This window comes from Homo sapiens, chromosome 10 (genome assembly GCF_000001405.40).
Source record: "Homo sapiens chromosome 10, GRCh38.p14 Primary Assembly".
In the NCBI taxonomy this organism is placed as follows: Eukaryota; Metazoa; Chordata; class Mammalia; order Primates; family Hominidae; genus Homo; species Homo sapiens.
The window spans coordinates 114,426,266-114,440,705 of NC_000010.11; the positions used below are offsets into that span (position 1 = coordinate 114,426,266).

The 14,440-nt window shown below is 45.4% G+C and overlaps 1 protein-coding gene across 53 annotated transcripts in view; it reads right to left on the reverse strand.

The window, feature by feature from the left end:
• ABLIM1 (actin binding LIM protein 1) overlaps nt 4,845–14,440 on the reverse strand; it is a 370,264-nt gene continuing 360,668 nt past the window's right edge. For 30 of the 53 annotated variants that reach the window (XM_047425242.1, XM_047425238.1, XM_047425237.1 and 27 more), the window contains 4 exon segments: nt 13,817–13,824; nt 12,911–12,985; nt 11,579–11,659; nt 4,845–10,108 (listed from right to left, as the gene is read on the reverse strand). In XM_047425242.1, the coding sequence (XP_047281198.1) occupies nt 9,995–10,108; nt 11,579–11,659; nt 12,911–12,985; nt 13,817–13,824 (278 nt within the window). In that variant the 3' untranslated portion in view covers nt 4,845–9,994. 53 annotated transcript variants of the gene reach the window in all.

The window sequence follows — 14,440 nt, forward strand, 5'->3', positions numbered from 1 at the left end:
TGTTGTAAGATTCAACTTCCCAGCTCCTAACCCAGATCTACCCAATCAAAGCCTCTTTGTGGACTGAAGCCTGAGCTTTGGGGTTAGACTTGGGTCCAGATCTTAGCTCCTTCCCCAAGTCTCCCTTTGAGCTTGGACAAGCCAGGCAGGCTCTCATCTGTGTATCGAAGGGAGCAACATTCACCCAGGTGGCTCGTGAGGATCATAGATCACGTCTGTGCAAGTGGAAGCCATTTGATTGAAAAAATGGTTAATAAATCCGAGCAATTTACTCTTGAGTTGTATGAAGCACCTTGTTTTTATGTAAAGGAGGGGCGTAATAATTGTTTTTTTCAACAGGAGAAGCCAGCTGACCCTTGCTCTTATCTGATGGGAATGTAACTGGCATCAACATTTTCTAACTTTTCATTAAGAAGCATATGTTTTAAGACAATAGCAGGAACGAAAGAACCTATTCTTTCTGTGCCAGCATCCGTCCAGCTTAGAACAAAATGTTATTCATGGCCAGGCTCCACCTTGCTGAGAAAGCCTGGTATTTGTCTTTGTAGGCAATCCTTTTGACATCCTTAGAAGGCCTTGTGGAGACCCCAGAGAGCTGTAATTGCCTTAGGAGGAAGGTGGCATTTGGACTTGATGGGAGGGGGCTAGAATCCTACCCACTTGTCAGTGGAGCTCGCCCAGCCTTGGGTTTGCCCTTCTCAGATTAAACAAAATAATCTACGTAGAGTATTTAGCCCAGCACCTGGCACTTGGAGGCCTGCAAAGAATGTTCGCTGCTGCTGCCATCAGACCCCTCTCTTCTTAGTGCCTGGACTCAGACACCTGGGGGTCTCAACCCGGCTAGATCTGGGGCTAGAAACCCCTGAGGCTCTGCCCTGCCTCCAGCCCCTTCGGGATACTCTGGGAGGGCCTATGGCTAACATATGCTAGGGGCAAAGCAGGAACAGCCTCTGCTCTGAAGGGGAGGTTTCCTAAGCCAACTTTTTTCTTTTTATCTGATGGGAAGGGCTGAGTTAAGAGTGAGCAGCAGGGGACAGCACAAATAAATACAGAAAAACCTCTCCAGGAGCTGTGATTGTGCTCAGCACAATAGCAGGCCCTGGAGAGCAAGTTTTATCCAGTGGAGATTGGAAAGTAAAATAAATGTGGTCCTATTACCCCCTCTTCTGCAGACCCGACTCGCTACAGCCTATCCCTGAGCTCTGCCAGAGTAGAAGGGAAGTGTTTGTTCAGAGTCCTGGTCTCCTGTGGGGAAGAAGGTGCGGAAGTGAGTTCTTAGGGCTGGGGTCGAGATTCCCTGAAGTTTTGGGTGCTATTCTCCCAACCACCCTGGCTTTCTCAAACGCTGACAGCTCCAAGTCCCCGCCCTTCCCAGTGCTTTCCGGCCCACAGTGGGCCACCTCCAGCAGGGTGGGCCTGACAGACACACCCTGGCAATGACCTGTGGGGAAGAGTAGCCTTCTTCCAGCAACGGGCAAGAGGGGCTGGGGAGGATTGGTGGCTTTCTCCCTCAATACTCTCAGGACCAGCAGCTCAACTTTTACAGCCTTTGGTTGCTTTGAAGTGAGTCATACCATTGAAAAGATCTTTCTGGAACAAACACCATCTTTCATGAGAATGAGTCTCAGCTCTTCCACAGGGAGTGTTTCTAAGCACCGCCGGAGTAGGCTAGGACAATCCTCCCAACCCAGGAAAACCCTCTGGAGCAGCTGAGTCCCAACCTGGCACCTCTGAACGCTTCCAGTTTGAGGAGTCTGCCATGCTGGGTGGCCACAGTGCTTTGGGGGCACCTGTGCCCCTCTCGGCATGACACTTGCCCATAGGCAGTGTTTAGGACTGCCTCAGCCTCCCGAGTAGCTGGGACTACAGTCGCCCATCACCACACCTGGCTAATTTTTTGTATTTTGAGTAGAGTCGGGGTTTCACCATGTTAGCCAGGATGGTAGCGATTTCCTGACCTCGTGATGATCCACCCACCTCAGCCTACTCAGCCCCACTACTCAGAGACAGTCTCTCTGGGTCTGTTTCCTTAACTAAAATGGAAGGAACCTAAGGAAGTATATGAAAGAAACCACAGAAATTGTTTAGTTCGGGGCTGGGCAAACAGTACTTATTACATGGCAGCTACTTCATGAATAAAATCCTTTTTTTTTTTTTTTTTTTTTGAGACGGAGTCTTGCTCTGTCACCAGGCTGGGGTGCAGTGGTGTGATCTCAGCTCACTGCAAGCTCCGCCTCCCGGGTTCACGCAATTCTCCTGCCTGAGTAGCTGGGACTACAGGCGCCCGCCACCACACCTGGCTAATTTTTTGTATTTTGAGTAGAGACAGGTTTTCACCATGTTAGCCAGGATGGTCTCGATCTCCTGACCTTGTGATCCGCCCGCCTCAGCCTCCCAAAGTGCTAGGATTACAGGCATGAGCCACCGCGCCGGGCCTGAATAAAAGCCATTTTAAGTGCTCGTTTAGTATCATGCAGGCTCTTGTCCTGCAGGAATTCTCATAATAACCTTTTGTGGTAGGTATCATTATTATTCCTCTTTTATGGACATGGAAATTGAGGCTTAGAGAAGTTAAACAATTTGTTAGTTATACAGATAGCTATTGGTGGAGCTGAAACTCGAACCCAGGCAGCCTGATGCTATACCCTGCACTCGGCTGCTGAGTAATACTTCTGGTTATTATTACTACTAATTAGCACATCTTCAGGGGATCTCTATCTTAGACTATGCTTGGGTGGAGAGAGTGCTGTTGTTGAAGTATGTAAAAGAGGTCGTGGGATTATTTTAATCCTGGAGTATTTATATAAAGACTAGAAGGAGAATCCATGAGGAAGGCCCTGTGAACACAAACAAAATGACTAGAGGGAGGGGTAAAAAGCCCAGAGTGAAAACTAATTCATTCTCAAATGATTATTTAAAATAATACTAGTCCTTATTCAACCACCTAAGTGCTCACGTGCTATAATTTGGCAACAGTCTTTTGATGGATATTATTATCTTGTCCATTCTGCAGATGAACAAATTGAGGCTGAAGAGAGGCTAAACGGGCTCCAAGACACACAGACAGTGAGTAACCCCCAAACTGTTCATAAATGCGCCTTGGTGGTAGTGTTGGGGCTCATGGCCACACTGAAGGGCGCTGGCCGGTCTCACACTAAGAACCCATTCTGTGCAGTGTGCCCTGGGAGATTCAGAATGTGGGACACAGTCCTTGCCCTAAGAAAGTCACAGGGAATGGGATGTGGAGGATAACAGCATGGGATCTGAAAAGGGCAGACCTGGAGAATTCTAGCTCTGCTGCTCACTGGCTGAGTGATTGGGCATGTTTGATTAGACTCTGAGCTTTGGTTTCCTACCTGTATAGTGGAGCTACAATTGTCTACTTTGAAAGGCTCTCACGAGCAATATAGTTATGCCAAGCTAGGGTGCCTGGCGCTCAGCACAGAGATCTCACTACAGTTCAACTGAAGAGCAGAAACCCACGCAGCTAGCAGTTCGAGGCAACACTTGCTAAGTACCGACCTTGAGGTTCAACTAGAGGCATGCAAAGAATTACATGCAGATTGGGCTGGGCCCATTAAGACAGGCTCATAGAGAGGGTGTGAACTTGGACTTGTCTTTAATTTGGAACAAATGGAGCCCATGGGAAATTCACATGGGTAACTCCAAAGAGCTGATGGGTAGCTGTTTTTAAAGAGTCAACATTGATCATTACTTCCTTTCCCTGGGGCCAGGTCCTCTCTGCTCCACCACCTCCTTGAAGAGTTGAGCATCGTAAAGAAGAAATACCTTTGATAAAGCTGCCTGGGAGGGAGCAAGCATGGTATGTCCTGGGAACTTGCAGTGGTTTGGCAAGATCTGAAGGCAGGGTACTGGGGGAGAGGCAGCTGAGCAGTGGGTGAGGCGAGATCCTTCCACTCCCAGCAAAGGCAGTGTGAGATTCGCTGACTAAAGTCTAGCAACTGAAGTGAGGCACGGGTCAACTTCCATTGGAGAGGTGGCCACCAGAGCCAAATCCCACAGAGAGTTCATAAGGACTGGAGATGACCCCTAGCTATGGTAATTATGGACCACAGCAGGGATGCTTTCCCACGGGTGGAGGCAGAGATGAGCAGAACACAGACCTTGAGCTGAGGTCTCCCGGCCTGTTTTCCATGGTGGTGAACTAAAGATGCCAACTGTCTTGAAAACAACCTGCATCCCGCTTCCAGGGGAGGGTCATGTGAATGCCAGTGTGACTGGGTCTTGGGTAGTCTCAGCAGACACAGAGCAGAAGGAAGGCTATCGTTGGAGTGGGCCATCTTGGACATAGATCCTTGTACTTTCTGGCAAGCCTAAAATCTTGGCAGTGATGATAACAAGGAAGTTAACATCTACAATTTCTTCATGTAAAGTTTGATCATGCAGGGGATGCCCAAAATTGGAAGGATGCTTTTCTCCTACTGCATTCTAGCTTCTTACTAAAAAGTGGCCCACACTCATAGTGGCTCAGAAGCTTCAAACCTCCTCAAATCCCCAGCTTTGTCGAAATGATGGGACTATCCCTGCTGTGTCACAAACCAAATCAAACACCTATGACACAGCACAGTGTAATGGCTCTACTAAACATTTCTTTCCTTTGGACAGCTTGGTCAATATGGTCTGGGTTATTGGACACACAGTCCTGGAATATCCTGCTGTTATTTGCTGCATTTTTCCACCTGCATGATAAAAATGTATTCCCACAGCCTTGGGTTCATTCTGATTTTGTTTTGATTATTGGAAGTTGCGTTGGTGCTTTTTAAAATGAGATAGACCTTCAAAGGGAGCCAGGGAACGAGAAATGAAACACAGGTATGGAGGCATCTACGAATAAAGCACACAACTTTATTCACGAAGTTGTGAGTATGACAGTGATGCAGAGTATATGACAAAGGAGTGCAGTGAGTGCTGCTGGCAACAGGAGCGGGGAGCAGGTAGGGATCACAGGCACAGCAGCGCGGAGCCGGCAGGGCCACCTCCTCCTCTACACACAAGCATGTGGCACTTAGCGCGCCAACACACACCTGCTCAGTTTCACAGGGAACACGACACAGCTTTTCAAAAGGAATTCTTCTAAACATTTGCTTTCATATTTCCAAAAGGGGAGGGAGGGCAGGAAGAACCACACACCTTCCAACATTTGAAAAAATTCCATAAACCCAACTTAAAATCAAAGAACTCAGAGAGCTTCAATGCGGAGTCATCAGCAACTCGCAGGAACCACACACATGATTGGACAAGTCTGTACATAAAACCCCAAAAGAACATCAGTTTTGTGGACAATGGTTTCCTCTGCTGTAAAGAAACGTATGCATATATGATCAGTAAGCAGCTCACATCTTTCTGAATGTCAAGGTCTACAGGATTGTCTCTGTCCACCTTTGGTCAATGGGTTCAGGAAGTGACTCATGGGAACTGCACTCTTAGGAGAAACACTTTTGGGAATAATTTTATTGAATAACAACCACCACTCAATTACACTAAGCTTCAGAAATTGTTGGATTTGTTTAATTTTGCTGTGTACCTATACATTGTTTAGAAAGTTTCTTTTGGCTTAAACTGACCATTTCCCCCCTTCTTTTTGAGTTTTCCATGATTAAACTTGCCCAAATAAAAACATAACAATCCATATGCAAAGCATATCTGCCACCACCTCCCACTGCTTCCTGGGCCGCAAACAGAAAAATAAACAGTGATTAAAAAAAAATGCCAAAGTGAAGGTTTCTCTTTCTTCTATCACAACATAGTTGGGTAGTTCCCTTAAAGTACATCATTGCTATAAGTTGGTATCACTGCAAATCTCAAGTCCCAAATAATCTCTTTTTCTGGATAGAAAGTTATTCAAAAGGGAGCACAAAAGAGCAAGCTTTGGGGCATACTGACAAACACTTCATTGGTTAGAAGAGAATAATTGTAAAAATCAAATAAAATTGAGGCTGGCATAGGAAGTACAGATTAAATACAGGTTAAATAGCTACCAGAAACACAGAAGAGGTGGTTAATAAAAACTGAGATTGCTTCAGAGGACACAGGAGGGTTGATGAGACAGTCTATTTTCCTTCCACCATCTTCCATGAGAGTCAGGAAAAGGGTTCTGTGAGCACCCAACCTGGAGCGGTCACCTGTCTCTTCCATACACAGGAGGATGCTAAGACCCAGTTAGCTTTAAATGGTTTTTAGAAAGACTTACCTAGTCAAAAGTGGTTAATTTGAACTTTTCAAACTTGCAAAAGCATATACATTTGATATCATCATCTGAGAAGCAATTCTTAGAAAAAAATGTTTGCTTCAATGTCTAAAGAAATCCAGTGAAAGTTTTAGAAACATTGCCAGCTAGACGTCTCCGAGTTAGAGTTGATTGATATACTGGATTGGGATGGAGAGGATGAGAACTGAAAAAGAACTGCTCCAGCCTCTGCCTCAGAAGAGGAAACTCAGCTTGGAGATGACAGAATTGGGTAGCGGAGTAGATGCTAGAGCCCATGACAGATAGAAAACTACCCCCATTTAAAAAAAAACAACAACTCATTAACTCTATCTCTTTGAGGTTTTGGAGAACAGGAAGTTTATGTGAAGTTATTGAACACGTCATATTAAGAACATTTCATAACTAACCCCAAACCAAAATGTAGATGCATAGCTAGCTGTGCAAGTTTCCCAATGCTCTTCCTATCTCCTAATAAGTCACACAGAAAGACTATGTGATAGCCTGGATTTTCTTGAAGAAATTTTAAAAGAACTGATTTTCCTATCATCATTGAGGCCCCTTTTACTTCATGCCATCATTATGCACTTAAGAGTCCCAAGGAAGTCAAATGTTCCCAAATGTAGCCCTTTACATCGGCACCAGGGAAGCCTGCCATATATACAATCCCCTTCCTAGGGTGAACAAGCTCCACCAGTTTGAGTGTGTTAATAACTGGAATTTTCATGTATAGTACAGGGTAGGGTAAAAGCAGACCAATAGCCATCTTGTGTGCTGTGACCAGGATGGACATTTTGAGGACAAGCATGCTGAGCCCAGTTTAACTAAATGTGCAGGCATTCTAGCCCACACATTCAATCTGGCAGTTAGCAGGAACCAGGTTGCCCCACAACCCATCCCTCCAGCTGGAGCCTTTTGCTGGGAAATGGAGTAGGGGGCCCACTCTGCATTATGGTTTCCAATGACCCCTCCCCAGAGCAGAGCACTACTCTGCTTGCAGATAGGAGGCTACTGGTGCTTTCTGGCAATGCATTTCTGCAAGGTGCAGTTTAAATGAACTCATATGGTACTTGATATGGAAAGAAGCTTTTTTTCTTCTCAAGTTGGATGCAGAACTGAGTTTAAAAGATACAAGGAAAGCAGGGTTTCATTAGTGGGAGCTGATTTAGGGTTCAGTTCTTTATCACTGCAATCTTAGGCAGGCCCCTTAACTCCTAGTCTCTATAAAATAAGGAAGGGGGTTGTCCCAGTTTTCAGTCTAATGTCCCCATTCTATGACAGACCCATGTCTTCTTTATGTAGACCAAGGAAGAGGAATTTTAGCAAAACTACCTGATTATGCCCATGTTTCCCAAATACCTTGATTTTTCTTATATTGACATTTCATCTGCACATGTCTGGGTGATAATTCATTAATCAATGTAAAACGTAGGGACCCTTTATTAGCTCCATAATGAAAAAAATCTCTCCACCAGCCAAGTGCTGGGACCCAGGTGGCCACCATTGTTATTGACAGGTAAGGAAGCACTGGAAATGCACCATCCTCTCCATCCCCACACTTTCCAGAGTAAAGCAAGGATGAGGACACCCAGGCATTGTGCCAAGGCTGCCATTGCAGGAGGGCACAGAGAGAGGATGGGATAGAAAAAGCATGGAATAAGCAAGAAGCCACTGAGACACCAAAGGCTAAACTGCAAACTGCAGTGTGGCTTCCAACCAAGCAAGAGCTGGTCTCATCTGCTCATGGCCACCCTGTCAGAGCCATTTGCTAAACATGTTAGTAGATCCAACACACACACACACACACACACACACACACACACACACACACACACACACGAGAGTAGTCCTCATTCAGTGCATAGCAATGGAAGGCTAGGACAATTTAGATTCCTTAGGTAAGAGCACAGGAGGATGCTATAGAACAGTGACTGTTCATTCCATCCCCCAAATGACAGCGGTGAGCCACGTGTCAGAGGCTGCAACACAGACTCAGAAACTATTCTACTTGCTTTTTTACCACTGGTGTCAGAGAGACAGCTTGTAATCCTAATATTTGGTGCCAGCAGGAAGAACTTCAGAGCTTTTGTTCTTAGTGGCATATGAAGGTAAATTCAAATGTTTTCTTCTTCGGCTTTAAAACAGAGCTTAAATTCTTAAGCACAGCCCCAAAGCATGATAATAAAGTGGCTTACCCTCCTGGGTGTGGAGTTACACAAACTCTCCCTCATCTAACTCACGTCGGGAATCATGATGTGGTTTCATATGCACGCACGTGTTGGGGAAACCCTAGGCTCATATTCGAATCTAGTGTTGCAGAGCCTGAGGGACTCTCGTGAGATGCTCTGACCTCCACATCCCACCTCATCCTTCCTCTGTGGTTCCCAGTCTGATCCTTCCATGAGCTACATCAGCGCCAACACCTTTCCATGAAGGAAGTGATGTTGGGGTCGCAGTTTAGCCTCACTCTTGATCTTTGAGTCACACACACTCGGTGACAATGTCTTTAGAAGCTGCAACACAGCAGGACAAACATTCAAGCAGAAATTAAAAAGCACATGCATGCTCACAAAATTACTCTGGGTGAGTGAAACCAACATGTGCACACACACCCATGAATTCGACAGAGCTGGGCAAGAAGAAAGCTGAAAAGGCCAAATTAAATACGTTCGAAGGAGTCTACTTTGGAGTTGCAGAGATTTAAAAGAGAAAAACATGTCTTTCCTTAGCCTATTATTGAAAGAAACCTTAAAAACCAACAACAGCATGGGCTTGATCTGATTCATAGGATGCCAGAGAGACAGCAGAGGATAACGACTGGAAGAACTAGAGTCAGTAGGACATGGGACTTGTTTTTGTTTTTTGCTTTTTGGTTTTTTTTGGCCATGAATGATATGGCCCCTATGCAAAATCACCTAATGGCATGCCACTGGGCCAATCTGGGGGCAATTTGTGTTTTTCCTTTCTTTGCAAAGGTGGAGCTCCAGACAGCTCCTGTCCTAGGCGGGGAGCAGGAACCAGACCTGCTATGGGAAGCAGAAAGAGTTAAGGGAAGGTTTCCTTTCATTCCTGTTCCTTCTCTTTTGCTTTTGAACAGTTTTTAAATATACTAATAGCTAAGTCATTTGCCAGCCAGGTCCCGGTGAACAGTAGAGAACAAGGAGCTTGCTAAGAATTAATTTTGCTGTTTTTCACCCCATTCAAACAGAGCTGCCCTGTTCCCTGATGGAGTTCCATTCCTGCCAGGGCACGGCTGAGTAACACGAAGCCATTCAAGAAAGGCGGGTGTGAAATCACTGCCACCCCATGGACAGACCCCTCACTCTTCCTTCTTAGCCGCAGCGCTACTTAATAAATATATTTATACTTTGAAATTATGATAACCGATTTTTCCCATGCGGCATCCTAAGGGCACTTGCCAGCTCTTATCCGGACAGTCAGCACTGTTGTTGGACAACAGATAAAGGAAAAGAAAAAGAAGAAAACAACGCAGCTCCTGTTGTATACATAAGGTAATGTGAAAAGCTCACATGTGGACACTACTCTGTGTTTCGGAACATAGAAATTTCTACGCCATGCTTCTTGGCAAGTGTTACTGTTGGCTGGCCCGACATTTGACTCATGGTGTTTTAACCAGACTTTCTCTTTTTGGTGTTGCTGAGCGACGGTAGTTTGCAAATTCTCCAATCAAGTTTGGGCCTCAATATGACATCCTATGGGGCACCGCCACTGTCAGTCCTTTCTCTAATTGCCATTCACGAGTGGGACTTAGAAGAGTTTTGCTTTTTTCTTCATGTCGTTGCGTCTCCAAAGAGGTAACCTGTCAAACTCCTGTATGGACATTCCAAAGATTTCCCGAAACACTTCAGGGGCTAAGTGGCGCTGGGAAGAAGAAAAAAAAAAAAGAGCTGCTGTCAGTCCTGATGGCCACACAAATGGCCTTGAGCGTTGCTCTATAGTTTATACAGAGTCATTCTGAAGAACAAGGCAGGAGGACGGGAGAGGAGCCCATCTTTAATGCTTGTGACATCAGTATCCCTTACCTGGTTGGGCCAGGTGAGGAGCCCTTCCCATCAGATAAAAGAGCTGGCAGAGTATTAATGGGGATTATAATAATAACACTGACTGGTGATGGGACACAGAGAGGTGATTTATTACATTGGAGACAACTCCATCCCAGGTCCTTGGAACGTTGAGAAGATGCAGGGAAAATGGACTATCGCAATAGAAAGCCAAAGAAAATGACCTCCAGCGTGGTCCCTGGGGAGCCCCAGGGCTTCCTCCTGGCTGAGGAATAGGGGGTAAGGTGGATGTCTGTTCTACTGAGAAGACTTCCCATCAGTCATTCCCCCCTAGAAAAGTTCCCCCAAGATCCTGCAGCCTTTATTCTCTGTACCTCTACGCCAAGGTACTGCCTTTTGTCAGGAAAAAGTAAGCATTCTTTCGGAGACTGGCAGCCAGGGTTTTTCTTAATTAAAATCATTGGGATGGAAAACTATAATACAAAAATTAGTCTTCCATGTCTAAGGAGATCTTGGGTACATGTACCCAGATAACCCTTCAACAAGGAATGTGGAAACAGCCAAGAAAGAAACTTGTCCAGTATAAATCAGTATAAATGTCTCTCCTGAGAGCCTTTGCCGCTCCCACAGCCTCCCATGAACTCAACCCCAGCTCAGGGGAAGATAAGGATCTGAGACTATCTCAAGAGAAATAGCGACTCCCATTCTGAATTACCAGCCATAATTATGGCAACATCAAGTTTCAAAGAAAATGACTGAAATCATTCTGTGTCTCCTGGGTCATTCTTTTTTTCTTTTTCTTTCTTTCTTTTTTTTTTTTTTTTAGACGGAGTCAGGCTCTGTTGCCCAAGCTGGAGTACAGTGGTGTGATCTTGGCTCATTGCAACCTCCACCTCCTGGATTCAAGCGATTCTCCTGCCTCAGCCTCCCAAGTAGCTGGGACTACAGGCACCTGCCACCATGCCCCGTGAATTTTTGTATTTTTAGTAGAGACAGGGTTTCACCGTGTTGGCCAGGCTGGTCTTGAACTCCTGACCTCAAGTGATCTGCCTACCTCGGCCTCCTAAAGTGTTGGGATTATGGGCGTGAGCCACCATGCCCACCTCCTGGGTCATTCTTCTGGATATTACCAGGCATTTTTATGCTGATCTAAGTGAAAACCTGGATATTTTTTTTCTCCAAAGTTATTTCTTAGTTCTACCTATGACATGAGGGTGATCTTTATAATTTTTTTTTGTTTTCACTGAAGAAATAAAACATTGCTTAGGGGAGAGTTGGGGGAGTGCATAGGGATCTGCAGTTGGGACTGGATTTTTCGGTTTTGTTTTACCTCCAGCCTGGTTCTGTCCACCTCTCTGAGGATTTTGTTTCGCCCTCTGTTGGTCACCATGAGCATTTCATATGGAAATATCTGAGAAGAAAGAAAACACCTCTTCTAGAACACCACAGTCCATTTTATTAACAAGCAGAATCCACCTAAACGCTAGTACTCCCAAGATAGAGCTTCCAAGAGACTGTCATGACAGAATTCGAGTGATGGGTCTTCCTTCTGCAAGGCCAGTGGAAGCTCCAGTTTCCAGGGGACAGGGACAGAATCTTAGACATTCTCAACTTTCCACCAGTGTCTCAGGTAGCACTGAGCCTTAGGGGGGCTTTGTTGAGTGGCAGAACACTAACTTACTATGTATTGGGATGAAGGTAAACATTAGAAGATAATGGAAATTACAGGCACGTGTTTTTTGTTTTTGTTTTTCTTTTTTTGTTTGTAGACAGGGCTTGCTCTGTTGCCCAGGCTGGATGCAGTGGTGTGATCACAGCTCACTGTAGCCTCAACCTATCAGGCCCAGGTGACCCTCCTATCTTACCCTCCCGAGTAGCTGGGACTATAGGCACATGTCGTCATGCCAAGCAATTTTTTTTAAGTTTTAGTAGAGATGGGATTTTGCCATGTTGCTCAGGCTGGTCTTAAATTCCTGAACTCAAGCCATCTACCCGCCTTGGCCTTCCAAAGTGCTTGGATTACAGGCGTAAGCCACTGTGCCCAGCCAATGTGTTACCTTTTATAGGATGCTGTTATAGGGCAGGGTGCATTTGTGCTGGGGTTAACAATCTTGTCCCATGACTAGCTCATGAATCTATGGGGCCAGGCAGGCCCAGAAGCAGTGCTCTGGCAACTGCCATATTGAAATAAGCCCTGGTTATGGTCACCAGGGAGCATGAGCCCTTGGACAACTCTGAAGGTACAGGGTGCTCTGGAGCTAGGGTGGCCAGTCACCCCAGTGTACCCAGGACTGAGGTTCTTGAAATGCAGGGCTTTCAATGGTGAAACAGGGTTGCCTCACCTACATGGTGAGTCTGCAGCCACTCCACTCAGCACCGGATATGCTCTGTAATGCACATGGCAGAGGCCAAGGGAATACCTTGGTCATAGGCAGAGAGGGACTGGCACCTCACTGTAAACACACAGCATCATGCCCAGTAAGGGTTTAACCTGCTGACCTGATGTGGGCAAAACAGCAGAATGGCAAGGTGCATATTCATGACATGGCTCACCTGAACACACCAGCCTACAACACTTTGAGAATGATGAAAAGATAGAACATCAAATCTGTTTAGGGTTACGCCATTCCCATATGAGAGGAAAAAGAACAGCTGCACTTGCCTTTGGTTCCAACATGTTGGGCATAGACACTCCTCGGTCCATTCTCATTGCAGGCATGTGGCCATCTGGGAGTGTCTGCAACAGAAATGCCAGTTCCAGGTGAGGCATGAAATAGTCTAGGAAACTGAAGGGAGTACTCTTGGGCTCCCAATTCCCTGTTGGGTCTCCAATCCTAACCACTATTTTATTTGTGTCATCTAAATGACCATGTATTTTTCAAAATGAGATCCTTGCTGTATAGGAACAGGAATACAGCTCTTTTGCAATCAAGTTGGGGAGAGATCTTGGCTTGATGGTTATGGACAAATTCCTGAATTAGGCTCCATGAATGAAAGCATATAGTACATTTAAAAGATGCCCAAGTCTATTATTGTTAGTTTCTTATCTTTAATCATGATTTTCTATGCATTTTTCTTCTTTTCTTATTCTCCATCACATTTCTTTCTTTCTTTTTTTAACAAGATTGAGGTTCTAGTGAGAAAGGAATGTCATGAGGGCAAACTGCTCTCTCCTATTGGCTAAGACATCAGTGTCTTTTCATTTGAGAACGCGCAGGAAAAGGGTGGCCTAAAGTACTGAGAGATTATAATTAAAAGAAGAAAAACTGTATATGAGCAGACCCTTGATGCTGGTCCACTTCCACCCCAGAGAGGACTCTCCAAGGCCAAAGCAAGAGAGACCCCCTACACCTGGCCTGGTTCATGCAGTGTCCCCAAGGCCTGCAGGGACAGCTTGACCCAGGCACCAGGCATGTCTGCTCTTCACGGCTATAGAGTAATGACTAGAGAGATCAACCACAACAAGCATCTTCTCAACAGAAACTGTTGCCTTGGAGCCAGCAGTCTGGGTTGGAACATGGCTGTTCTATCGGTGTGGCCAATTCAAGAAAGACAAAGTGTTCCATACCTGGTAATCTGAAAAGGAAAGGAAAAGAAAATATCATAAGGGAAAGACCATGGAAAAGCAAGGAACCATTCACAGACTATATTATATTGAAATTCCCAACATATTCGCCCTATAAACCATGTTCTTTTTCTGCTCCCAGACTCTGCACATGTTATCCCATCAGCCTCCCTGAAGCCAAGAAATGCCTGGTCCAGTGTTAGTTAACAGTTAAAACATTTTCCCCTGGAAGCTTTCGCTGACAACCTAAAGGTACTTACTGCTTCCTTCTCTGCATCTCTGATCCCAATGTTCATCACACAGACCTTCTTTCTGCCATATGCATTTTGAGGGCAGGGGCCATGTCTCACTTATTGTTGTACCTCCAGTTACTTTTTTTTTTTTTAAGAGACAGTCTTGCTCCGTCACCCAGGCTGGAGTGCAGTGGCATGAACATAGCTCACTGCAGCCTTGAACTCCTGGGCTTAAGCAATTCTCCTGCCTCAGCCTCCCAAGTAGCTGGGACTACAGGCATGTGCCACCAGCTAATTATTATAATTTGTTGTTGTTGTTTTTGTTGTTGTTGGTAGAGACAGGCCCACTTTGTTGCCCAACCTAGTCTAGAACTCCTGGCTTCAAGTAATCCTT